The sequence below is a fragment of the Homo sapiens genome, chromosome 9 (assembly GCF_000001405.40).
Source record: "Homo sapiens chromosome 9, GRCh38.p14 Primary Assembly".
Classification (NCBI taxonomy): domain Eukaryota; kingdom Metazoa; phylum Chordata; class Mammalia; order Primates; family Hominidae; genus Homo; species Homo sapiens.
The window spans coordinates 112,315,893-112,342,751 of NC_000009.12; the positions used below are offsets into that span (position 1 = coordinate 112,315,893).

General features: G+C 41.6%; 1 protein-coding gene across 18 annotated transcripts in view, besides 8 other annotated features; it reads right to left on the reverse strand.

The window, feature by feature from the left end:
- Window positions 1-26,859, reverse strand: part of PTBP3 (polypyrimidine tract binding protein 3) — a 162,168-nt gene that overhangs the window by 98,178 nt on the left and 37,131 nt on the right. For 5 of the 18 annotated variants that reach the window (NM_001244896.2, NM_001244897.2, NM_001375920.1 and 2 more), the window contains exon 1: window positions 17,578-17,727. The exons of 1 other annotated variant lie outside the window; for it this stretch is intronic. Coding sequence is in view for 9 of the 17 variants with exons in the window: in XM_047424266.1 (XP_047280222.1) it covers window positions 14,549-14,582; window positions 17,002-17,063 (96 nt within the window). In the remaining 8 variants the exon portion in view is untranslated. Of the gene's footprint in view, window positions 1-14,548; window positions 14,583-16,875; window positions 17,135-17,577; window positions 17,773-26,859 lie in introns of those variants that run through there. 12 more of the 18 variants (XM_047424274.1, XM_047424273.1, XM_047424271.1 and 9 more) reach the window with 7 other exon arrangements.
- Window positions 8,391-8,916: an enhancer, noted in NCBI's record as "H3K27ac-H3K4me1 hESC enhancer chr9:115086563-115087088 (GRCh37/hg19 assembly coordinates)". NCBI's record gives its function as "activates a minimal SCP1, AML or CMV promoter by ChIP-STARR-seq in naive and primed H9 embryonic stem cells {active_cell/tissue: H9 hESC(naive and primed)}" and the evidence as "EXISTENCE:reporter gene assay evidence [ECO:0000049][PMID:30033119]".
- Window positions 17,092-17,581: a silencer, noted in NCBI's record as "silent region_20189". NCBI's record gives its function as "represses an Ori minimal core promoter by ATAC-STARR-seq in GM12878 lymphoblastoid cells {active_cell/tissue: GM12878}" and the evidence as "EXISTENCE:reporter gene assay evidence [ECO:0000049][PMID:35858748]".
- Window positions 17,732-18,051: a silencer, noted in NCBI's record as "silent region_20190". NCBI's record gives its function as "represses an Ori minimal core promoter by ATAC-STARR-seq in GM12878 lymphoblastoid cells {active_cell/tissue: GM12878}" and the evidence as "EXISTENCE:reporter gene assay evidence [ECO:0000049][PMID:35858748]".
- Window positions 17,732-18,771: a biological region, named in NCBI's record as "H3K27ac hESC enhancer GRCh37_chr9:115095973-115096943".
- Window positions 17,801-18,771: an enhancer, noted in NCBI's record as "H3K27ac hESC enhancer chr9:115095973-115096943 (GRCh37/hg19 assembly coordinates)". NCBI's record gives its function as "activates a minimal SCP1, AML or CMV promoter by ChIP-STARR-seq in naive H9 embryonic stem cells {active_cell/tissue: H9 hESC(naive)}" and the evidence as "EXISTENCE:reporter gene assay evidence [ECO:0000049][PMID:30033119]".
- Window positions 21,644-22,143: an enhancer, noted in NCBI's record as "500 bp enhancer 25 fragment used in low-throughput reporter constructs". NCBI's record gives its function as "activates both an SV40 promoter and a TATA-containing promoter in HepG2 cells {active_cell/tissue: HepG2}" and the evidence as "EXISTENCE:reporter gene assay evidence [ECO:0000049][PMID:23512712]".
- Window positions 21,822-21,966: an enhancer, noted in NCBI's record as "145 bp enhancer 25 fragment used in the MPRA reporter construct; PK_construct_1701". NCBI's record gives its function as "activates an SV40 promoter by MPRA in HepG2 cells {active_cell/tissue: HepG2}" and the evidence as "EXISTENCE:reporter gene assay evidence [ECO:0000049][PMID:23512712]".
- Window positions 21,887-21,900: a transcriptional cis regulatory region, noted in NCBI's record as "HNF4 motif; enhancer activity is lost when this motif is scrambled". NCBI's record gives its function as "necessary for full MPRA enhancer 25 activity {active_cell/tissue: HepG2}" and the evidence as "EXISTENCE:site-directed mutagenesis evidence [ECO:0005528][PMID:23512712]".

The following is a 26,859-nucleotide window of genomic DNA, read 5'->3' on the forward strand; positions in this document are numbered from 1 at the left end:
ACTTTCTTGGAATTTAATTTTCTCTGAATAAAAATGAAAACAGGATAAAAATTTTGAGATAGTGCTAAAGCCGTGCTTACAGGGAAATTTATATCATTAAATGATTACATTAAAAAAGATCTCCAGTCACAACAGCAAGTGTTGCCAATACATTGTTAACAATGGTAACTCTCATACATTAATAGACAGTACTCTGGAACCATCTAGTAAAGTTAAGCATATGCATTACACCTGGATCATCCAGTTTCTCTTGTGGCATGGTAGGCAGACTTCTAAGGTGGTGCCAAATGATCCCCATCTCCTAGAATTCATGTCCAAGTGTAATTCTCTCTCCTAAAGTATAGGTTGCACCTAGAGACTCGCTTCTACTGAACAGAATACAGCAAAAATGACGGAATGCCACTTCTGAAATTAGGTTTCAAAAGACTTTTACCTCATACTCTCTCACTCTCTTTTTACATATTTATAAGAAGCAAGTTGCCCTAAGGAGAGAAGCACATGGCAAGAAATTGAGTGTGGCTTCCAGTAAGGCCTTTAGCTCAAAGGCCCAGGAGATGACTCCTGCCAACAACCACACAAGTGAGCTCGAACATGGATTCTTCCCTGGAAGATGACTGCAGCACCCACCAGCACCTTGTAAAAGTTCTAGAACCAGAAAACCCAAGTAACCCACGCCCAGATTCCTGACACACAGACACTGGCAGATAACAAATTTTAATACTAACAAATAAATGTTGTTTTAAGCTGCTTAAAAAGAAGGTATCAGGCTGGGCACAGTGGCTCACGCCTGTAATCCCAGGACTTTGGGAGGCCGAGGCGGGTGGATCACTTGAGGTCAGTGAGTTAATTAATCATTTAATGCTAAGGTCAGGAGGTCAAGAGTGGTGTGGCCAACATGGCGAAACACCGTCTCTACTAAAAATATAAAAATTAGCTGGGCATGGTGGTGTGCACCTGTAATCCCAGCTACTTGAGAGGCTGAGGCAGGAAAATCGCTTGAACCCGGAAGGCAGAGGCTGCAGTGAGCTGAGATCATGCCGCTGCACTCCAGGTTGGGCGACAAAGTGAGACACCATCTCAAAAAAAAAAAAACAGTAAAGAAAAAGGCCAGGAACAGTGGCTCACGCCTGTAATCCCAGCACTTTGGGAGGCCAAGGCAGGAGGATTACTTGAACCCAGGAGTTCAAGACCAGCCTGGGTAACATGACAAAACCCCATCTCTACAAAAAATGTTTTTAAAACATTAGCTGGGCACGGTGGGAGGACTGCTTAAACCCAGGAGGCAGAGGTTGCAGTGAGCTGAGACTGCATCACTGCACTCCAGCCTGGGCAACACAGTGAGACCCCATATCCAAAAAAAAAGAAAAAAAAGAAAAAAAATTAGTGAGGCACAATGGTACATGCCTGTAGTCCCAGCTACTTGGGAGCTGAGGTGGGAGGATCACTTGAGCCCAGGATCCACCACTGCACCACTGCACTCCAGCCTGGGCAACAGAGCAAGACCCTGTCTAAAAGAAAGATATCAAGTCAAGAAAAGCAAATTAAACTCAATGTAAATAGAAAGAAGGAAATAAAGAGTAAAACTGATGAAATTCAAGAGTCAATCAACACAGGAAATGAATAAAACCGAAAGCTGCTTTTCAAATAGACCAACAATACTGAAAGCTAGACCAATCAGGAAAAAAAGAAAATATCAATTATGAATATCGGTACTGAAAAGATGAAAATTACTACAGATCCTACAACATTAAAAGGATAGTAAGAAAACATTATGGGCCGGGCACAGTGGCTCACGCTTGTAATCCCAGCACTTTGGGAGGCCAAGGTGGGTGGATCACGAGGTCAGGAGTTTGAGACCAGCCTGACCAACATGGTGAAACCTTGTCTCTACTAAAAATACAAAAATTAGCCGGGCATGGTGGTGTGCGCCTATAATCCCAGCTACTCAGGAGAGGCAGGAGAATCGCTTGAACCCGTGAGTCGGAGGTTGCAGTGAGCCAAGATCGCGCCACTGCACTCCAGCCTGGGTGACAGAGCTAGACTCAAAAACAACAAAAAACAAACAAACAAATCCATTATGAACAACTTTACATGCATAAATCCCAACAACTTAGTTGAAATACAAAAATTCCTTGAAAGATACAAATCCAACACCCATTAATGTTACCAAAGAACAACAAACAAGAAATAAGAAATGTTTCCAACTTAAAAAAGGGCATCTAAGAAAAACCTACAGCTAAGAAAAACTGCCTGTTTTCCCGTAAGGAGCAGCAGTAAGGCAAAGATACATAGAAGTCAGAAAAAGAAATAAAGGTCACCCAGATTAGAAAAGAATAAAACTACATTCTCAGATGACATGATCATGTACATTAAAAATCCTAAGAAATTTACCCAAAAAAAGGTAATAAGTAAGTTTTTATAGCAATATCACAAAACACAAGATCAATATGCAAAGTATTTCTATATATTGACAATAAAACACCATTTACATTAGCAAGAAAAATGGCATACATGTGCAAAACCTGTACACTGAAAACAACAAAACAACATTGAAAGAAATTAAAGACGACATAAAAGAATTTGAAAGCTGGGTGCAGTGGCTCACACCTATAATCCCAGCACTCTGGGAGGCCAAGGTGGGCAGATCACTTGAGGTCAGGAGTTCAAGACCAGCTTGGCCAATATGGTGAAACCCCATCGTGACTAAAAATATAAAACTTAGCTGGGCATGGTAGCACACACCTGTAGTCTCAGCTACTCAGGAAGCTAGGGCAGGAGAATCACTTGAACCTGGGAGGCAGAGGTTGCAGTGAGCTGACATCCCACTACTGCTCTCCAGCCTGGGCAACAGAGTGAGACTGTCTCCAAAAAAAAAAAAAAATTGAGATATTGTTTCATAAAAGACTCAATATGCTTGAAATGTCAAAAAGAAATTAAGAAAATTTCATTTATGGGCCGGGCACAGTGGCTCACGCCTGTAATCCCAGTACTTTGGGAGGCCAAGGCGGGCAGATCACCTGAGGTCGGGAGTTCAAGACCAGCCTGACCAACATGGAGAAATTCCGTCTCTACTAAAAATACAAAATTAGCTGGGTGTGGTGACACATGCCTGTAATCCCATCTACTCGGGAGGCTGAGGCAGGAGAATCTTTTGAACCTGGGAGGCGGAGGTTGCAGTGAGCCGAGATCATGCCATTGCACTCCAGCCTAGGCAACAACAGCGAAACTCCGTCTCAAGAAAAAAAAAAAAAAGAAAGAAAATTTCATTTACAATAGCTACAAAAAAAAAATACTCAGAAATAAATTTAACCAAGAAGGGTACATCAAAAATTACAAAACACTGAAGACGGAAATTGAAGACACAGCCAGGAGCAGTAGCCCACACCTGTAATCCCAGCATTCTGGGAGGCCAAGGCAGGAGGATCACTTAAGCTCAGCAGTTCGAGACCAACCTGGGCAATACAGAGAAACTGCGACTTTACAAAAATAAAAAAATAGCCAGGTGTGGTAGCGTGTGCCTATAGTCCCAGGTATTCAACAGCCAACAGGTATATAAAAACGTGTTTAACATCACTAATCATCAAGACACTACAAATTAAAACCACAAGGAAATATGACCTCACATCTGTTAGAATAGCTATTATCAAAAAAGGAAAAAAAGAAACCCTTGTACACAGTTGGTGGGAATGTAAATTAGTACAGTCATTATGGAAAACAGTATGGAAGTTTCTAAAAATATTAAAAATACAACTACCATATGATCCAGCAATCTTTCTACTGGGTATATATCCAGAGGAAATGGAGTCAGTATGTTGAAAAGACATCTGCATTCCCATGTTCATTGCAGAATTATTCACAATAGCCAAAATATGAAACCAATCAAAATGTCCCTCAGTGGATGAATGGATAAACAAAATGTGGTATACATGTACAATGGAATATTACTCAGTCTTTAAAAAGAAGGAAATCCTGTCATGAGACAACATGGATAAACCCGGAGGACACTGCGTTAAGCAAAATAAGCCAGGCGCAGAAAGTCAAATGCTGCATGATCCCACTTACACGCAGAATCTAAGAAAGCTGAAATCATAGAAGCTGAGAGTATAATTGTGGTTACCAGGGGCTGGGGGTGAAACTGAGGAGATTTTGGTCAAGGATACAAAATTTCAGTTAGCAGAAATAAGTTCGAGAGATCAATTGTTTAACATGGTGACTATATACTTCAGTTTTTAAAATTAGCTGGGCATGGTGGCATGCACCCTATAGGCCTAGCTACTCAGGAGGCTGAGGTGGGAGGATCACTTGAGCCCAGGAGTTCAAGGCTGCAGTGAGCTATGATTGCACCACTGCAATACAGCCTGGGCAACAGGACGAGACCCTTTCTCTTAAAAAAAAAAAAATATATATATATATATATATATATTTTTTTTTAAGTGTTATCACCAGAAAAAATGATAAGTGACAATGCATATGTTAATTAGCTTGATTTAGTCACTGCACAATGTATATTACAAAACATGTTGTATATCATGAATATATACAATTTTTGTCAATTAAAACTAAAAAACACATTTTAAAAAATAAAATGTCAAACATCAAATGACCTGTAGATTTTAATCAATGCCAGGGAAAATCACAGCTTTGTCTATATAATATGACAAGCTGACTTTAAATTTTAAAATGAAAATCAAATGATCTAGAATAGCCAAAGCAATTTTGATAAGAACAAAACAACTCGACTTTAAGATATACTATAAACCCACCGTCATCAAGACAGTGTGATATTAACATAAGAATGGAAAACTAGATCAAGGGATAAGAATACAGTATACAGAAACAGACCCACTTACGTATGGTAAGTTGATTTTCAAATAACAGTGCCAACACAATTCAGTCTGGAGAGGAAAATCTTTTCAACAAATGGTGCCGAACTACCTGGACTGTTTACTCACGCCATACACAAAAATAAATTTGAGATACATCTGAGACCTAAACCATAAAAGCTAAAACTACAGGCTTCTTAAAGCAAATAAATGAGAAAATCTTCCTTCTCATCTTTGGAATAAGCAGATTCCTTAGCTAGATGAGACATACAAAGCTATAACCTAAAAGGAAAAGAAATTAAATGTATCAAAATTAAATTCTTCTATTTATCAAAAGACACCATTAAGGAATGAACAAACAAGCCACAGACAGGAAAATATTCACAATACATACACCTGACAAAGGACTTATATTCACAATATATAAAGAATTCTTACACTCAATAATAGAAATATAAACCCTATTTGAAAGAAGGGGTAGGACTTCCTAGTCAGCTTGGAAGTTGTCACTTTTGCCTTTACAAAAAGAAAACTGGCCGGGCATGGTGGCTCATACCTGTAATCCAGCACTTTGGGAGGCCGAGAGGGGTGGATCACGAGGTCAGGAGTTTGAGACCAGCCTGACCAACATGGTGAAACCTTGTCTCTATTAAAAATATAAAAATTAGCTGGGCATGGTGGCACGCACCTGTAATCCCAGCTACTCAGGAGGCTGAGGCAGGAGAATCGATTGAACCTGGGAGGCGGAGGTTGCAGTAAGCCAAGATCGCACCACTGCACCCCAGCCTGGGCAACAGAGTGAGACGTAGTCTGAAAAAAAAAAAAAAGAAAGAAAGAAAATCACCTAACAAACTAAAATTCATCAGCTATTCTTGGACCAATCAGGGAAGTAAGGTCATGAGGCAAATCACCACATCAAAATCTGAAGACTGCCGAATCCAGAGTCACAATCGAGGTATCCTTGTCTGGAGCAGAATCTGCTGGAACTATAAATTGACAGGACTACTTAAATGGTAACTCTGACAAACTGCTGAGTATGAACTAACATACAAGTAAGAAACCCTCAGAGCCTGTAGTCCTAAGGGGCCCCCATACTTCCCTAGGCTTTACCCTCCAGGAACCCTACACCAAGTTCTCAAGGTGAAGATACAAAAAGGCCCTTGTAATCCCAGCACTTTGGGAGGCCAAGGCGGGCGGATCACAAGGCCAGGAGATCAAGACCATCCTGGCCAACATGGTGAAACCCTGTCTCTACTAAAAAATACAAAAATTAGCCAGGCATGGCAGCGTGTACCTGTAGTCTCAGCTACTTGGGAGGCTGAGGCAGGAGAATTGCTTAAACCCAGGAGGTGGAGGCTGCAGTGAGCTGAGATCGTGCCATTGCACTCCAGCCTAGGAGACAGAGCGAGACTCCATCTCAAAAAAAAAAAAAAAAAAAAAAGAAAGGCCCTTTCCAGTCTCTAGCAGGAGGAGGGGGAACAGTAACCTCTGTGAAATACACCCAAGAGCAAGAGCTTCCTTCAAAATTATAGTCTTATCCTGATGTTTTCAAAAAACTTTACTTAGTCCAATCTAGGGAATGGGTATTTCCTAAACTCCAGTCCCTTCTGGCTTACCTGGCCTACCTAAGGGGGAAAAAAACTGTGAAACACTTGTGAAAGTCACATATCAGAGGCACAGACACAGGCCTGGGGAACAGCTGATATTAATCAAAAGGCTATGGAATGCTTCTCTCCCCAACACCTTACCACATCTCAGGACTCTAGTATAGCAAAGGATTATAGCTCAAAGAGCTGCAAGGCTCAGACTCTAGAAGAGGGGCCAAAAACAAGGACACTGAAGAAAATCCTAGCCAGAATAACATAAAACTCACACTAAAGGCCTTTTACCTCAGTTCCTATTCTCTGATACAACATGTCTGGCTTTCAACAAAAAATTACAAGGTGTGTTTAAACCTTTTAAGAAAAAACACAGACTAAAGAGACAAAACAAGCATCAGGACCAGATTCAAACAGGACACAGATTTTGGAATTATCAGACATGGTTTAAAATAACAACTTTAACCACAGAACCAACCCAACTTGGTCCACCTTTGTGTAATAAGATGGTGAGTTGTTTTTCAGTTGCTATGGACCCCGAGGTGGTAGGTCACATAACACGGACATGTCCAGGTGAACCAAGCTTGCAACCATGGGTGGAACCCAAGAGTCAGGACCAAGGAATGGAGACTGAATTAAGAAGCAAACATCTGAACAGGTGTGGTGGCTCATGCCTGTAATCCCAAGACTTGGGGAGGCTGAAGCAGGAAGATCACTTGAGGCCAGGCATTCAACACCAGACTCAGCAACATAGAGAAACCCAGTCTCCACAAAAAAAATTGTTTAAAATTAGCCGGGCATGGTGCCATGTCTGTGTAGCCCTAGCTACTGAGGAGGCTCAGGCAGGAGGATCACTTGGACCCACACGTTCAAGGCTGCAGTGAGCTATGATTCATGCCACTGCACTCTAGCCTGGGAAACAGAGCAAAATCCTATCTCAAAAAACAGACACCACATGGGAGGATCCAGTTAAATCCTGCCTCCTGGAATCACCTCGGATCATGCCTCATTGCCCAATGCCTATAAAACCAATGCCATCCCCCAGCTAGAGGAGACAGGTTTAAGCATTTCCTTCTGTCTCCTTGCCATTCAACAACAATAAAGCTTTTCTTTTCTCAAAAAAGAAAAGTGCCATGGTATTGGCCTCTATGCACATCAGACAGCAAGCCCACTGATTGCTTAGCAATATGACGGTCAATATGTCACTGGCTGTAATGGAAAATGTAGATAACATGCAATAAAAACGGATAATATACCAGAGACATGAATGCTCTGTAAAAGAACCAAAAGGAAATGCTAGAAATAAAAAACACTGTAACAGAAATGAAGAATACTTTCAGTAGGCTGGACACGGCTGAGGAAGGAATCAATGAGCTTGAAGATATTCCAACAGAAACTTTCCAAACTGAAATGCAAAGGAAAATAATTAGAGAATGTCCAAGAACTGTGGGACAATTTCAAATGTGTAACACAGAAGTAACTGAAATATTTTCTGATATTTTCTAGAAAAAAGAGAGAGAGTACAGGGCAGAAGAAACATGTAAAAGTAATAACAGCCAAGAATTTTCCATAATTAGTGATAGCCAAACCACAGAACCAGGAAGCTCTGAGAAAACCAACCAGGATAAACACTAAAAAATCCATACCTTGGCATATCATTCAAACTGAAGAAAACAAAAGAGAAAATCAAGAAAGAAACCAGAAGAAAAAACACCGTACCTATGGAGGTACAGGGACAAGAATTACAGAGGTTTCTTTCTCATCAGAAACCATACAAGCAAAAAGAAAGTGAAGTGAAATATTTAAAGAGTTTTTTTAAAAAAAGGAAAAGAAAAAAAAAGACAACCTAGAATTCTGTATGCAGAGAAAAAGCATCCTCGGAGTAAAGCAGAAACACAAAACCAAGAGAATTCATGTCAATGGACCTGCGAAAAGTTTTTTAAAAGTTCTTTAAGGGGAAGGAAAACATTATAAACTTAGTAAATGTATATGCTACAATGTATACAGCAACCACTAAAAAAAAAGTTAAAGGAAATATAATTAATATGTATGTTGAGGGCCTGGTGCAGTGGCTCACATCTGAAATCCCAGCACTTTGGGAGCCCGAGTCTGGTGGATCAGTTGAGGTCAGAAGTTCAAGATCAGCCTGGCTAACATGGTGAAACTCTGTCTCTACTAAATACAAAATTAGCCAGGCATGGTGCTGCACACCTGTAGTCCCAGTTAGTTGGGTGCCTGAGGCACGAGAATCGCTTGAACCTGGGAGACAGAAGTTGCAGTGAGCCAAGATCGCACCACTGCACTCCAGCCTGGGTGACAGAGCGAGACTACCTCTTTTTTTTTTTTTTAAAAAAAAACAACTTTAAAAGAATAGACAAAAGACTTAACATTCACAAAAGAAGATAAGTGAATGCCTATTAAGCACATAAAAAACTCACCACCACCAATCACTGGATCAATAACAAAATTAAAATGAGGAAATACTAGTCCACAAGAATACCTAAAATTAAAAACTGACAACACCCAGCGTGTTGTCAGTTTGGCTGACACATGAGGCAAATGAACTCTAATATAAAGCTGATCAGAGTGTAAGGTGGTACAGCACTTTGAAAAACAGTTGAACAATTTCTTATAAAGTTAAACATCTACATATCCTATCACCCAGCAATTCTGCTCCTAGTCATGGATTGAATGAAACATACATATACCCAAAGACTTACACATAAATGTTCGTGGTAGCTTTATTCATAATAGCCCCAAACTGAAAAGTGCCCAAATGTCCATCAACATGAGAATCAATTTTTAAATACTGTTATATATTTGATAAGAGTCAAGAGACGGCAAAATGCCTAGGCAAAGAGGGAAGGGTCCCCGGAGAACCTTCGACCTGCCCAGGTCATCATGCACAGGAGGCTTGCCTAAATACGCCCACAGTGAAAAATTCCATCACTTAACATATGTGCAGTAAGGGAAATAAATCAACGTGGAGCGGCTCAGACTAAGGGCCCGTCTGCACACTGGGGGAAGGGGGTGGAGCCACCAGGAATTCACGCCTTAGGCTAGGGAGTGTGGTGGCCTGGTATTCAACCTGAGGTGGAAGCCAGCTGGCGGGACCCCTCTCTTTGCTGAGAGCTCCCCTTTCGCTTAATAAATTCCACTCTCCTCACCCTTCAATGTGTCCATATGCCTAATTTCTCCTGGTTGTGAGACAAGAACCTGGATTTAGTTGAACTAAGAAGCAAAAACCCCTGCATTATATTCACATAGTGGAATTCTCACAGAAATTAAAAAAAAAAAAAGGAACTACTGATATATGCAAGAACAAAGATGAATCTCAAAACCATTTTGCTGAGTAAAAGAAATCAGACATCAAAGAGCTTTTATGCTCTATGATTCCATTTATATGAGGTTCAAAAACAGGTAAAACTGGACAAGCACGGTGGCTCATGCCTGTAACCCCAGTACTTCGGGTGGCCGAGGCAAGCAGATGGCTTGAGCCCAGGAGACCAGCCTGGCCAACATGGCGAAACCTAGTCTCTACAAAAAACACAAAAATTAGCCCGGAGCGGTGGAGCGCACCTGTAGTACCAGCTACTCAGGAGGCCGAGGCAGGAGGATCACCTGAGCCCAGGAAGTTGAGACTGAGGTAAGCCTTGATCACACCACTGCACTCCAGCCTGAGCTACACAGTGAGACCCTGTCTCAAACAAACAAAACAGGTAAAACTAATCTCTGGTGATAGAAATCAGAAGAGCTGCCTAAACTGGGTCTGGAAAGAGGCAACAGGGAACTTTCTAGACTGCGTGTTCTATTATCTTGAATGAGGTATACAGGAAACACTAGTGGATACAAGTGTCAAATTTTACTGAATTGTACCCTTAAGACATGTGCATTTCATTCTATGTAAATTACAGCTCAGTTTAAAAGGAAAAGGATTGCAGCAAATGCCTTCTACATTTCCTATAGCTCAAGCACAGCAGCAGGCAAACGTTTTCTGTAAAGGGCCAGAGAGTAAGTATTTTAGGCTTTGCAGTCTCCACTACAACTACGACTGCCTTTGTAGTGTGAAAGGAGCTACGGACAATATGAATGAGCACAGCTGTGTTTCAGTAAAACTACAAAAACAGGTGGCAAGCCAAATGTGGCCCATAGCCATAGTTTGCCAACCCTTGGTCAAGCAAACAGAAAACTAATCCTCAAAATTAATTTAAATATGCTATATTGTTCTCTTCTATATACTGACAGGCATGATAATCACTAGAAGTCCTTCCCATATATGTGAGTTTTTCATACTCATCTACTCACTTAAAATAGGAAAACCCAGAAAAAGTCTAAAACATATTTGATATGTAAGACTGTCATTTTCTTAAAATCATACTCTAATCGCTACTACAGTATTTTGAAAAAATAACCAGGATTATGAGGAATATTCAAGTTTAAAATAAGCCAGCCAGTTAATAATTAAAGTATAAGCTGTACACACACAAAATGCTATGTTATCCACAGTCTGACACTTTGATTTATCTGGTATAATAAAGTTCTTAAAACATGTACAGTTATCACTCATTATCATCTAGTTGGTTCTTCATTTAAAAGAATTCAAAATTAAAGACAGCAATTATGCTTGGGTGTGGTGGCTCACACCTGTAATCCTAGCACTTTAGGAGGCTGAGGCAGGAGAATCACTTGAGGCCAGGGGTTCAACACCAGCCTGGACAACATGGTGAGGCCTTCGTCTCTACAAAAAAACTTAAACATTAGCTGGGTGTGGTCCTAGCTACTCAGGAGGCTGAGGTAGGAGGATCACTTGGGCCTTAGAGGTGGAGAATGCAGTGAGCCATGATTGTGCCACTGTACTCCAGCCCGGGCAATGACAGAGGTAGAGCCTGCCTTCAAAGAAAAAAAAAAAAATAGCAAATACGTCTCAGTTTCCCAATAAGCATTTCAAAATATAAAAATTACATGAAGAAGGCCGGGCACAGTGGCTCACGCCTGTAATCCCAGCACTTTGGGAGGCCGGGCAGATCACGAGGTTAGGAGTTCGAGACCAGCCTGGCCAATATGGTGAAACCGTTTCTACTAAAAATACAAAAAAAAATTAGCCGAGCATGGTGGCGTGTGCCTGTAGCCCAGCTACTCAGGACGCTGAGGCAGGAGAATCACTTGAACCCAGGAGGTGGAGATTGCAGTGAGCCGAGATTGCGCCACTGCACTCCAGCCTGGGGCAACAGAGGGAGACCACCGTCTCAAAAAAAGTACATGAAGAAATAGAACAAATTTTTCATGAAAGTAGTATTAGAAACTAATTTTCTTAATTTTGGCAAGGCTCAAAAAATTGTAACACCACAAATAACATCCAAGGTATACACTTAGGTATAACATGAGACAGCCCTAAGCTGCCTGAAAAATGTTACCTGTCTTCAAGAAAATTCCAATTTAAAAAATGAAATGATTTCTTTCTCACCATAGTATATGACTAATAGAGGAAAAAAAAAAAAACACTAGCAAAATGAGAAAGCTTAAGTTCCTGTATAAGTATTCTACCTAACTAGCCATGTGACAATTTGGCATTCATTCACTCATCAAGTATTTCTGAGAGCTTATTATGTGACAGACACTGGAAACACAGTAGTGAAGAAAATAGCAAAAATCCCTGCCCTCATGACACATTTTGGTGAATCACTTAATCTCTAAAAACAACTCAGTTTTCTTTCTCTAAAACGATGGATTTTATATTATACTACAGAGTATTTTCAATTCTTTTTTTAAAAGTCCATATTACTCTTCTGAATCCAGGGAAGCAACTTATGGAAGATAACCTGAAATCCACTCTTGCCACTGGCTGAAACCATTTGTTGTGTCATCATATTCAGATGGCATACAAGGGAAATTAAGTAACTGCTAGATTATCTTTCACACGATCTAGATGAATTATGAGCCTTACTGGCCTCTTAGTATTTACTTGGTAATTAAGATTCCTTGGATGGAATCCAAAAAGAACAATCTTAGAGAAATTTCTCCAGATAATGCATAATTTTACATTCCCAGATCTAAGCCTATAAAAATATAGATTGCTACTGAACCAACTAATAAGCTTATCTTCTCTTCAGAGTAGGATCTGACCTTTGTTTACAAAGTGCTTGCTAAAAGCAGGTAGTCAGAAAGCCAAATTTTGTATTCAAATATGGTTCCTGCATCTAACATTTAAATCTTCTTTCACTTATGAAGACATATCTTTAGGGCAGGCACAGTGGCTCATGCCTGCAATCCCAGCACTTTGAGAGGCCAAGAGTTTGAGACCAGCCTGGGCAACACAGCAAAATCCCAGCTGGGCATGGTGGTGCACGCTTGTAGATTTACTAGCTACTTTGGAGGCTGAGGTGAAAGGATGGCTTGAGCTCAGGAGTTAGAGGCTGCAACGAACTATGATCATGCCACCACTGCACTCCAGCCTAGGTGACAGAGTTAAAAACAAACAAAAAACCATGAATGAACACCACTGTCAGGTCCAACAAATGCAAATAAAGTAGGAGCACTGAAATTTGCTAACAAGAAGAGATGATGAACACAGATGGACCCAAAGTGGTGGAACAAATTTACATAAGTCAATCTATAATGTGTAAGACACATATAAACAAAGATGAATTATTTCTTTCTACAATAATTTGAACTGTAAGTGGCTTCTAGAACTAGATTCTCAACTCAGCTATATCAAATATTAAATTACTAAGGGAACCTTTAGAACACCCAGATATTTTAAGTCTCATACAGATGAGCACTGTTTACTTAATTTATATTTAAAAATCCAATAAATGGGCCGGGTGTGGTGGCTCACACCTGTAATCCTAGCACTTTGGGAGGCCAAGGAGGGCGGATCACCTGAGGTCAGGAGTTGGAGACCAGCCTGGGCAACGTGTCGAAACCCCGTCTCTATTAAAAATACAAAAAAATTAGCCAGGCATGGTGGCATGTGCCTGTAATCCCAGCTACTCAGGAGGCTGAGGCAGAAGAATCACTTGAACCCCTTTGAAGGTGGAGGTTGTAGTAAGCCAAGATTGTACCACTGTTCCCCAGCCTGGGCAACAGGGAGGCTCCGCCTCAAAAAAAAAAAATCCAATAAATGAAAAGACTTTGGTAAAACTGAAATGATTTATAACCTAGAAGAATCATTATTATAAAATACTAATTATCCAGCTCTCTGGATGTTTGCCTTTTAGACAGAACTCTCATTGCTGACAGCTAGGTATAACGAAAAAAAAGTCAGGCTTTGGTACCTGGAAGACAAGAGTTTGAACACTAGTGCACCACATCTTGGACACAAACTTTCTAAAGCTATTTTTTCACCTCTAAAATGGGAATACTGATTACCTACCTTGAAGGATTGCTATGATTGGTAAAAATACATGTAAAGCACCTGACACATAGTAGGCACTGAAGAAAGAAGTGTCAGCTGCTTATTCTCATAAGCACATCCATGAAAGAGGATATAAGAAAGGACATGGTAAGAAGATAAATCAGAGCCTAGGCTACACTTTTTTTTTTTTTTTTCTGAGACAGTTTCTCACTCCCATTGTCCAGGCTGGAGTGCAGTGACACGGTCACACTCACTGCAGCCTTGACTTCCCGGGCTCAGGTGATTCTCCCACCTCAGCCTCCCAAGTAGCTGGAACTACAGGCACGCACCACCATGCCCGGCTAATTTTTTTATTTTTATTTTTAATAGAGATAGGGTTTCACTATGTTGCCCAGGCTGGTCTCAAACTCCTGGGCTCAAGCAACCCGCCCACCTCTCAGCCTCCCAAACTGCTGGGATTACAGGTGTGAGCCACCGCACCCGGCCTAAGCCTAGGCTACATTTAACTGCTAAAACAAAGCAAACAAAAAGCATCCTGATAATTTAAGTGAAACTTTGGGCTAAATTTTTTGTTCACATTTTATACACATAATACTATAGTTCCTCCTTATAAATACGTAAAATCCAAAGTTACCTCAGGTCTACTTATTTTGGAGCTAAGTAAAAATTAAAGACTTTTACACAATAAAGCAGATAATTTTATGAACAGGTGAGACTGAAAATATGCCAAAAGATATAAAAATGCATATGAAAGGATAGTAAAAGATTCCTACCTTTAAACCGACTGTTATAAGATCTGTAACAACACTGTATGGAAAAAGTAAAAAGAGAAAATGGAAAACAAAGTTAGAGAACAAGTTTTTAAAAGACAGAGATAGTAAGAATAAAGGGGAAAAAGCATTATAATAACAAATAATAAAAATAAGAATGTGATGAGTTGTGAAATATTAATACAAAGAAAAATGATGAGACAGTCTAGCAACAGCAGAGTGCAAAAGCAAATCCTTACTACCAATGCAAGAAACAAATCCTGTTATCTTTTAGTATTTAGGAAAGTATAGTCAAACTTCAATAAAAATGAGTGTTTATCCATTTACCTCTATTTAACAAAGCCAAACCAAAACTTAAAATCACCAAAGTTTGTTCTTTTAAGTCACTGGCATGAATAATCGTGTCTGAGGTTTTAAATGAAACAAAACCAGTGCTTGGATTTTACAGAAATAGAAGGCATCTTGCAAATCTGCATTTACCACCCAAAATTGCTCACCAAAATATAGTTAAGACAGTCTCTCAGAACTAAAATAAATACAAACATCACATTTCAGACATCAAAATTTTCAAAGATTTGCTTTTTAAAAATATTCTATCACGTCAAAACTGTGTTTAAGTATAAATTATCTCTTAGGAGGAAACGAACACACACACACACACACACACACACACACACACACACACACACGAGAGACAGTTGGGATTTGAGGAGGAACTAGAAAGATATGTTGACTGGTGGCTTGTGGTTTGTTTTTTAACTACCCAAATAAGGAAAAAGGATCTTTTTCAGGCTGTTGGAAAATGTAGAAATTTAATTAGTCTCCTGAAGGCAAAAATGCACTGTATTCTTAAACCACATCCCTTAAGACCAGGGTGTGAAAATCCCCTTTAAAGTCCTGCCATACAAAAATTCTTCTCTTCTAAGCCCCAAGAAACTGTCTTCGATTAATGTTTTTCTTCATATCTCCTAGAAGAAAGCTACGAATACATTCTACATATTGTTAATAACCTATGTCATCATTACCTCATAAAAGTCAACGAATAAATGACTCTAGATGATGTAAACTGTTTTTAAAATACCACGTAGATTTTTTATTTTTCCTTGTAAACTTCTGAAACTTGAAATTCATTTGTCTAAAATTTAAATGTGATAAGTAACTGGACGCTTGCTGCATAAAAAATAAAATGGTGTAACACTATGGTTATTGGTTCTGATACAAAGGGCAAATCATGCTCCGACTTGAACTTCCAAATGAACTTACCTTCCAGTCAGTATCTGTATAACTGCCTTGCATATTCAAACCAATAAACCCATTACTACCTTTAAAACCACAAATAGCGTGAAGGGAGAGTAAACTTCTTAAACACTATCAAAAAGTAAGTTTGCACTTCACAGTTATCCTACAGTTTAACAGCAAAGACGCAAAATTCAAGAGTCCTCTTTATTATAACTATACATTTTACGACACAAAAAAATAGCCTGCTTCCATTATTTAAGTCAAACCTTCCAGACAATTAACTACACATAATGAAATGCTAAATTCACAGCCTGCCTGAACCAAAATATTAGTGACACAAATCTTTACGACCACAAAATTTTTCAACATATAAAATGCAACTGAATAAGGTAATGTGAAATAAGTTTTCAACAATGTTCTCGAAGAAACTTCAATCAAACAATAAAAACAGCTTCAATTCCCCCCCAAAATATATACACCTACTGTGTACCCAAAAAAGTTATAATTTTAAGAAATTTTTTGAAGCTTCAATCAAATAAAAATAAAGAACATCACAATCATGAATAAAATCTAAAACTCCACTTTGATGTCTGTAGCAGTGTGCAATCTGCATTCAAATGAATCAATCCGAAATGTCATATACACTTAATATTGTGAAACTAAAATAAATGAAATCTAATGAGGTCAAAAGCTGTTGGAAGATTTCATCTTCAAATAGCATATCATCAACTGTATGGCAACATGTGAACGACTTTTACTGTTCTAGCAAGTTGCATATATTCCACAACCTCACAGAAATCTTGTCATCAAAAGTAGGTAACAAGCTAAAAAAAACCTCAAATACATAATGGGAATAAACCGAGTTGGAGATTTTTTTTTAATCCGTAGGTACAGATACTACAACCTTCAATTAATTCACCAAAATCCTAACATAGTTGTTACTTTAATTACCAAAATATGTCAAGTCCCACCCCATATCCCTGAGTCCCCAGAGAACAGTTTATATACATAGACTCTAAATCTTTTTATTTTGGTCACGGACCCCCATTAAATTTTTGAGCATTTGAAATGCCCCCGAAAATCGCTCGTACATCATATTTTACATACACGGGCAGATAATTCATTAAGTTTCTTGGGGAGAGAGAAAGGTGAGGGGGAAGCGTCCATGGTCACTAAGTCCAGACCCCTGGTGTCGAGAAAGCGTTAACGTATCTCACAGCACAAGTCGGGAGACCTCGGCCAAGTCCCGCGGCGGCCCTGGGACCCCGCGTGGGACCATGGCTTGCGACCAGGTCGCCGCCCAGACGTGTACCGACGCGTGCACCCGCCGTCGGCCGCTCGCCCCACCTCGCCGGTAAACAGCAACTCCCCCGGCAGGAGGACGCCCGCCCCGCGCGCCGCCTCCGCCTCCCCCAGCGCCGCGCACCATTTTCTGAGAGGAAGTGTCGGGAGGCCGAGCTGGGCTCCCCGGACTCGGGGCGCGGAGGGCGGACCTCGGCACCGCGGCCGGACCGGGCTTTCCTCTGCTCCCGGGTGTGTCGAGTAAGGCTAGGAAGCAGCGGACGTGTCCGGGGCGCCGCGTGGGGAAAGGAGAGCCTGCGGCGGACGGCAACTCCGCGATTCCGGGATCCCCACCGAGACGCCCGGAAGCCCCGCCGTCGGGCTTGGCCGGGGCCGCTCCTCCGGCCGCCGGCGCCGCGCACTGCTCCCCAGCCCTTACGCGTCCCGCGGAGAGCCGGGTGGAAGCGGCGCCAAGGCAACCCGGTGCGGCCGCCGCGCCGCCTAGTACTTACCCATCCATGGCCCAGATGGAGGCGCGCACAGAGCAGGGACTGACGGGCTAACCGCGAGCAGAGGAAGCAGGCGGCGGCAGCAGGGCGGTTCCGGGGACAAGCGAGCTTTGGCTCTGCGGAGCCCCGGCCGGTCCGAGGTGGAAGGAGAGTGGGAACAGGGGCGGGGACCGGGCACGCTCCCGCCACCGCCGCGCCCCCGCCTTCCCCACCCCGCGAGCGCGTCCCCGCCTAGCCCGACCCCGCCCCCTCACCGTCCCCGCCCTCCCTCGGGGCCCGCCCCTGCGCTCGCGCCCACCCTCGCCCCGCTGGCAGCCGGCCTCCGGCTCAGCTCTGGGGCGCCCTCTTCCCGCGGTCGCTGTAAGACCCCGCCTCTCGGCCCCTCGGCCCGGCGCGCGCGCGCGCCCCCAGCCTCCCTCCTGCGTTCGCGGGAGCGCGCGCCTTGTGCTTCCCGCTCCGCCGCGCACCCCGCCCGCCCTCCCGCGGCCCCGCGGGCCTTCCGGCTTCGCAGACCGGGCCTGCCAGGTTTGAATGCCTCCCTCTGCCGGCAGGAAAAGCTATGGGGACCTGACTCCCAAGAGTAGGAAGGAATGTCCCACAAGGACCCCAGAAACGAGGTGGAATTGCCCCGGGTGCGCGAGGCTGTAGATGACACGTCCAGGGACCAGCCTCTGGCAGCCCGGCGCTGGAGTCGACCGCTGGGACCGACACCAGCCCCATAGGTGTGGCTGGGACGATGAATGAGGTGAAAGAGGCTGCCCGGACTGGAATTTGTATACAATTTAAGTATCTGAGTGCATTTCGACCTAACCGTCTAGTATTGAATTTATATGAAAAATTCATTGTACAAACATGGAATGGCTATATTCCCAGCATTTTTTAAAAGTTTACTCATTATTCCCTTTTTTCAGATGAAAATACATATACAAAGAGAGTGATTTGCTCACAGTTTCACAACCAGGAAACGTTTGCACCAGAGCCCTTCCCTCTGGTCTGAGCAAAAAGTATATATATAATATAACGAGTGACAACACGCTTGCTTTTTTCCCTTTTTAGTGAGAAATTGAGTACTTTTTCAACTCACAGATCACCAAAATGTAACCCCCTAAACTGTTAAGCCAAATTCTTAACCTACTGAGTAAAAAAGAGCGGGGCTCCTCCCCGTGGCTTCGTCATTTGAAAAGCAACTAACAAGAACCTCAAACATCTATCCTTGCTAATTTCCTGCTTTCAGATCAGTAGGTGCTGCTAAAAAGATCTAAACTGTGGACTCATTCATCATTCAGTCAGTATTAACCTACTATGTGCCGGGCACTGCATGAATACACAAGAAAATCAGGTTCCAGCCGTCACTGTTGAATGGATTCTTCAGTCCGTTTATGTATATTTTTGACATACAACTTTTCAAATAGGTAGAGTAATTCGGTGAGGTAATTCTTAAAGTCCTGTATCTAACCTCAGTCCCCTTCCAAAATGTCAAATACATTTTGTTTTGTATATTAAATCTAAATATTAAGTTGCATTTGTAAACATTGCCAGATGGAAATGTAGAATATCAACAAGATAAGTAGCTGATGCAGTCTTTCTATCACTGTATTTGGGATATATTCTGTTGATGAAATTTCCTTAACCCTTTTTTTAGCTACACAAGTAATATCAGCATAAATGCTCATTTTGGAAAATTCAAGCACTATAAAATATTGAAAAGTTATCATTAATATTTTTCTTCCCAAACCACCCCCTGCCCATGACTACCACTGTAACAATTCTGCGTGCATCCTTCTGGACCTTACTTTTTTTTGTTGTTTGTTTTTTTGTTTTTTTGTTTTTTTGTTTTGAGACGGAGTCTTGCTCTGTCTCCCAGGCTGGAGTGCAGTGGCACAATCTGAGCTCACTGCAACCTCTGCCTCCCGAGTTCAAGTGATTCTCCTGCCTCAGCCTCCTGAGTAGCTGCGATTACAGGCGCCCGCCACCACGCCTGGCTAGTTTTTGTGTTTTTAGTAGAGACAGGGTTTCACCATGTTGGTCAGGCTGGTCTCGAACTCCTGACCTTGTGATCCACCCACCTCAGCCTCCCAAAGTGCTGGGATTACAGGTGTGAGCCACCGCACCCAGCGACCTTTACCATTTTTCTTTTTTTTTTTTTTTTTTTTCACCTAAAAATCCTGGATTATAGCTGGGCATGGTGGCTCACACCTGTAATCCCAGCACTTTGGGAGGCCGAGGCGGGCAGATCACTTAAGGTCAGGAGTTCGAAGCCAGCCTGGCCAACATGGTGAAACCCCCCATCTCTACTAAAAATAGGAAAATTAGTCTGGCTTGGTGGTGCACGCCTGTAATCCCAGCTACTCAGGAGGTTGAGACAGGAGAATCTCAACCCGGTAAGCAGAGGTTGCAGTGAGCCGAGATCACACCACTGCACTCCACCCTGTGTGACAAAGTGAGACTCCAGGCTGGAGTGCAGTGGCACAATCTCGGCTCACTGCAACCTCTGCCTCCCAGGCTCAAGCAATTCCCCTGCCTCAGCCTCTGGAGTAGCTGGGATTACAGGCACCTGCCACCCTGCCTGGCTAATTTTTGTATTTTTAGTAGAGACAGAGTTTCACCATGTTGGCCAGGCTGCTCTTGAACTCCTGACCTCAAGTGATCCACCCACCTCGGCCTCCCAAAGTGCTGGGATTATAGGCATGAACCACTATGCCCAGCCTCATAATTTCATTTCATAATTTAACCTTTTCCAAAACAGTGGAAATTACGTTGTTTCCAAGTATTCAAAATAACTAACACTATTGCAGAAAATATCATGAATGTATGAGTATCTTTGCACACATATTATTACATCTGAGGAATAGATCCCTAGAAGTAGAATTGAGAAACAAAGGACATAAGCCTTAATATCCTTTATATAATTCAACAATCCTTTATATAAAGCCTTTATAGCCTTTATAATTCAAATTTGATAAATTTTTTGAAAATGATTCCAAAAAGGCTGTACCAATTTACAGTTTCTTTATTTAAAAAAAAAAAAATTTGGCTGGGCATGGTGGCTCACACCTGTAAATCACAGCACTTTGGGAGGTCAAAGCGGCAGCATTGCTTGAGCTCAGCAGTGTGAGACCAGCCTGGGCAACATGGTGAAACCCTGTCTCTATATTTTTATAAAAATAAAAATAAATTATTAAAGTTATGTCTCTCTTACCCTTTGCTTTAAGCTAACAAATTTTAATATTAAAAAATAGCAGAGCGTGACCCCTATCTTTGCTATTCCAAATTTCAATATTAAAAAATAATACAGGAAGACCCCATCTCAATAAATAAAGGTAAATATAAAGTGTGTCCGAAATTTATTGTTCATACTAACAATAATTCCGAGAAGTCTGCAATGTAAAAACAGTGCACCTGACTGAAATTAACAAAACTGTTTGGCATTTCCTAAATACTCAATGTCCAGCTTTACAACAGAAGCCTAGATATAAGAAAACAGAAAACAGTTTACAACAAAAAAGGTGAAGCCTTAACTCTTTCCCCTGCCCCTTGGTTCTAAATTCAAAGAACTTTTTGTTTGTTTGTTTGTTTGTTTGGAATCAGAGGCTTGCTCTCTCACCCAGGCTGGAGTGCAGTAGCGCGATCTCAGCTCACTGCAACCTCTGCCTCCCAGGTTCAAGCAATTCTCCTGCCTTAGCCTCCCTGGTAGCTGGGATTAGAAGCGTGCACCACCACACCTAGCCAATTTTTGTATTTTTCATAGAGATGGGGTTTCACTGTGTTGGCCAGGCTGGTCTCAAACTCCTGGCCTCAAGTGATCTGCTTGCCTCCACCTCCCAAAGTGCTGGGATTACAGGCGTGAGCCACCGTGCCTGGCCAATTCAAAGAACTTATAGATTAAGCTCCATGGGTTTGTGAGTCACTTTGATTCAAAAATAGTAGGTAGCATAGAGTTTAGCTCCTCAAGAACCACTTTGAGAAACCTAACTGTTCCCATAGCCTACATGATGTGGAAGAGCCACAGCTTTCTATCATCTCCACAGAAGTTTCTGGAATCAGATATCTCAGATATCACCTACATGACCTGGTTTGACCTGAAACTGATGGGTTCTATATACTGGCTTCTTGATAGTGAAGAGAGTTACATTTTCTCTATTTGCTAATTGCTCTGTGCTTTGAAAAGGAAGACAGATACAAATAATTTAGTTTATAATTTTTCTAACATTTTCTCTTGTGTTTTTGTTCTGATTTGACTAAGAAATTCCCCTGACACACCTTTTTCTGATGAGAGACACCACCCCCATCACGATTATCTTTGGACAACATGTAACCTTTGAACACTTGCCTTAAGGCATTCCAGTAGGCAGTGGTTAGTTAACATTTAACCAACATAACCCTATTTCTGTTTACAGGTAAGACTTCTTAATATATAAAATAATACAAAGATGCCAAATAAGTCAGAAATAATACCAGCTATTAGGTGAATCTAGGAAGCTGGACATTTTAATATCATTCTATCCCATGACAAATACAAAATCATCATAATTAACATTGCATTTCCCAAAACAGAAACATCTGAAATTATACTAAATGAAAAAAGCCAATCTCAAAAGGTTACATGCTGTATGATTCCATTTCTATAACATCCTCAAAATGACAAAATTATAGAGATGGAGAACAGATTAGTGGTTACCAAGGATTAGGAAGAGGGTGGGAGCAGATGGAAGAGGATACAGACAACTGTGACTACAAGGGAGTAAGAACGGGGATATTTGTGGTAATAAAACAGTTCTGTGTCTTGATTATGGGGTGGTTATACAAATCTACACATGATAAAATTGCATAGAACTTTAGATAAACACATGCATGAAAAAGTGACAAAATCTGAAGAGAAGTTATGGATTGCACTGTGTCTGTGTGCTGCTTTTAATAGTGTAATACAGTTACTAAGATGTTACTATTGGGGGAAACTGGTTGAAGGGTACACAGGACCTCTTTGTACTTATTTTTTAAATTTCCTGTGAATCTACAATTATTTCAAAATAAAGAAACCTTGGCTGAGTGTTCCCTTAATATTTGTTGTTATTTGTTCAATAATTAAACAATAACAAACATCAAAGGCTTAAGCAAAATGGCATGTGAGTATAATTTATAGTTTTCAGGCTGTATCACCTTGGTAGTCAAATAAGGTTGTAACAGCTGACACACACTGACTCTGACCGACTCTGCCCAGTCTGTTGAATTATGAGCCTTTCTTCAAAGTCCTTCCCAACTATTTGAAGAGGCGGCATGTAAGTGTCTCCTACATGCTCACTGACTTCTCAGCAGCTATGAATCACGTCCATTTTTGTCATCCCATGCCTGGCCCTGATGTAATCATCTCCACATGAAGTTCTTAATATGGCCAGTGCCTGGCACAGAGGACTCATGTCTATGCTGAAGGTGCTGTCCCTTGTCACTGTCCTATAGTATAATTTGCCAGCCCATGCCAAAGTTGCATTGGGCTTTCTGGAGCACTTTTCTGAAAAGGGGAGTATTCCTCTCCCTGTTTTTTGTCATACTATATCACCTAGGTTCCAGTGTCTCCCAGAATTTTTAATGAAACAGCCTTTTTTATTTAAATTCACAGAAAATCATCCTTTAAGATTTAGGCAAGGGCGAAATGCCGTCTCTACTAAAAATATAAAAAATTAGCCAGGCGTGGTGGCTCATGCCTGTAGGCCCAGCTACTCAGGAGGCTGAGGTGGGAGGATCACCTGAGCCCAGGAAGTTGAGGCTGCAGTGAGCTGAGATCGTGACACTGCACTCCAGTCTGCCTGACACAGCAAGACTCTGTCTCAAAAAAAAAAAAAAAAAAAAAAAATACAGGCGTGAATCCTAAGGGGCTAAGAAAATCTGAATGATAATCACTACAGTGATCTAAGAATCATCATTGCCCTTTAAAATTGACTTCTTTTTGTCCTTAAAACTGTTGTCCCCCACTCTCTATCCTGAGGATGAATTTCTTAACCTAGAAGTCTCCCAGACCCCACTTAGAAGTAAATCTCTTGGATTGTTGTTATTTTTTTTCTTTACCTTTATTTACTTGCCATTTTTATTTTTTTTCTTTTCACTCTTTTTTTTTTTTCTTTTGAGACAGTCTCACTCTGTCACCCAGGTTGCTGTGCAGTGGAATGATCTCGGCTCACTGCAACCTCTACCTCCCAGGTTCAAGCGATTCTCCTGCCTCAGCCTCCCAAGTAGCTGGGATTACAGGTACACCCCACCACACCCAGCTAATTTTTGTATTTTTGGTAGAAATGGGATTTTGCCATGTTGGCCAGGCTGGTTTCCAACTCCTAACTTATCAGGTGATCTGCCCGCCTCAGCCTCCCAAAGTGCTGGGATTACAGGTGTCAGACACCATGCCCTGCCTGCCCAGCCCAATTTTTAAATGATATAAATTTCTATCAGGATTATAACCATGACACTAAATGTTATAAAAATTCATATTTATTTAAACATGTTTATTTTTTATTTATTTATTTTCTTGAGACAGGGTATCGCTCTGTCACCCAGGCTGGAGTGTAGTGGTGCAATCGTGGCTCACTGCAGCCTCAACCTTCCAGGCTCAGGTGATCCTCCCACCTAAGCCTCCTGAGTAGCGGAAACTGTAGGCATGTTCCACCACCACACCTGGCTAATTTTTGCTGGTGTGTTCTTAGCAACCAGAACAATGCCTACTACATAATAGGCAGCCAATATTTTATTAATTGAACATGTGAAACAGCTTGTGCCTTGCAAAGACAATCTTCCTTTTGTTTCTGAAACTGTTTATTGTATTAATACTAAATTTGTATTTCTGGTAAACTTGCCCTATATTCTTCCTCAGCATTACCAATTCGTTATTTATTAGATCTTCATTCTATTACATATTTTTCTTTAATGTCTTGTGTTTGTTTTTTCTTAATATTTTATATGATTTTCTCAAGTCTATTCTCTCCAATCATAGTTCAGATTTCTGCAGTATTAGTTTGATTCCCTGCTATTTTAACGTGTTTTTAAATAACATAATAATTTTGTTTTCTCCTCTTCTCTTTCATTTGTTCTGCCAGCTTTTTTAAAATGTCATGTTATTGTCTTATCTATGTTTTAAAATCTCTTGTTTAGGGCCGGGTGCAGTGGCTCACGCCTGTAATCCCAGCACTTTGGGAGGCTGAGGCGGGTGGATCACCTGAGGTCAGGAGTTTGAGACCAGCCTCAACATGGAGAAACCCCGTCTCTACTAAAAGCACAAAATTAGCCGGGCGTAGTGGTGCACGCCTGTAATCTCAGCTACTCAGGAGGCTGAGGCAGAATTGTTTGAACCCGGGAGGCGGAGGTTGCGGTGAGCCGAGATCGCGCCATTGCACTCCCGCTTGGGCAACAAGAGCGAAACTCTGTCTCAAAAAAAAAAAATAAATAAAATAAAATAAAATCTCTTGTTTCATGGACTCCATATTTAATTATCCAAAGAGGATAAAGAAGTATTTTGTCTAATGTTTTCTTCTTATCCGTTTTTGTTCCTCTTTAAAAGTGTAATTTTCATGTTTTTACATATTATATTCTTCTACTTCATTTGGGTGTTTTTGTTTTGGTTTGGATTTCTTGTGGGGTTTTTTGTTTTTGTTTTTGTTTTTGGCAAGATCTCTGCTAGAATTTGTTTTGTTTTGTTTGTTGAGTCAGGGTCTGTCTCAAGTCGCCCAGACTAGAGTGCAGTGGTGTGAGCTCGGCCCACTGCAACCTCCACCTCCTGGGTTCAAGTGATTCTCCTGCCTCAGCCTCCCGAGTAGCTGGGATTACAGGTGCACACCACCATGCCTGGCTAATTTTTGTATTTTTAGTAGAGATGGTGTTTCACCATGTTGGCCAGGCTAGTCTCGAACTCCTGACTTCCAGTGATCCGCCTGCCTCGGCCTCTTGAAGTGCTGGGATTACAGGCATGAGCCACCATGCCTGGCCTCTGGTAGAATTTTATTCCCTTGTTTGTATCCGGCAAGAAAAGTGTTTTTGTTTTTCGTTGGGTGTGTGTGTGTGTGTTGTTGTTGTTTTTGTTTTTGTTTTGAATGATGGCAGTACTACTTTGATCTGCAGCTTACTAAAGAATAGTGTGAGTTGAGGGCTCACAAATCTCATCTCAGCTTTTCTGTGCGTTATTGATTTTTTTTGTTTTTGTTTTTAAGTCACTTGTAGGTCTAGATATCAATGGTTTATATTCTTGTTTCATCTTTCAATTACTTGGTGGGGATGGTGAAGTGGGAAGTGACTGTGAAGTGACTCCAATAAGTAGATAGCCATCAAGTAAGGTGTGCTTTCTCTCAGAAACTTCACAAAATTCTTTACATAGTTCTGCTAAATATCCACATTTGGTTTGGTTTGTTTTCCCTGAATTCCTTTAGAATGACTAGGTCCCTGTGATGGCTAATTTTAGGTGTCAACTTGCCTGCTTTAAGAGACAACAAGATAGCTGGTAAGGCATTATTTCTGGGTGTGCTGTGAGGGTGTTTCTGGAAGAGATTGGCATTTGCATCAGTGGACTGAATGAGGAAGATCTGCCCTCACCCAATGTGGGCAGGCATCATCCAATTGGCTGAGGGCCTGGATAGAAAAAAAAGGCAGAGGAAAGGCAAGTTTTCTCTCTTCTGGAGCTGGGACACTGTTCTTTTCCTGCCCTTAGACATAAGAACTCCAAGTTCTCCAGCCTTTGGACTCCAGGACTTGCACCAGCAGCCTTCTAGTTTCTCAGGCCTTTGGATTTGGACTTAGACAGAGCCGCATTACTGGCTTCTTGGGTTCTCCAGCTTGCCGATGGCCTATCATGGAACTTGGCCTCCATAAGTCTCCTCTCATATGTCTCTGCGTGTGTGTGTATCCCATTGGTTCTGTCTCTCTAGAGAACACTGACTAATACAGTCGTCTTCACAGAAGCCTGAATATACTCTATAACATATAATATAAGAGGTTAGACTGGACACAGTGGCTCACGCCTGTAATCCCAACACTTTGGGAGGCCGAAGTGGGCGGATCACTTGAGGTCAGGAGTTCGAGACCAGCCTGGCCAACATGGTGAAACCCATCTCTGCTAAATATACAAAAAGTAGTCGAGCATGGTGGCACACACCTGTAATCTCAGCTACTCAGGAGGCAGAGGCAGAAGAATCACTTGAACCCAGGAGGCAGAGGTTGCAGTGAGCCGAGATTGCACCATTGCACTCCTGCCTGGGCGACAGAGCGAGACTCCGTCTCAAGAAAGAAAAACAAAGAAGAAGAAGAAGAAGAAGA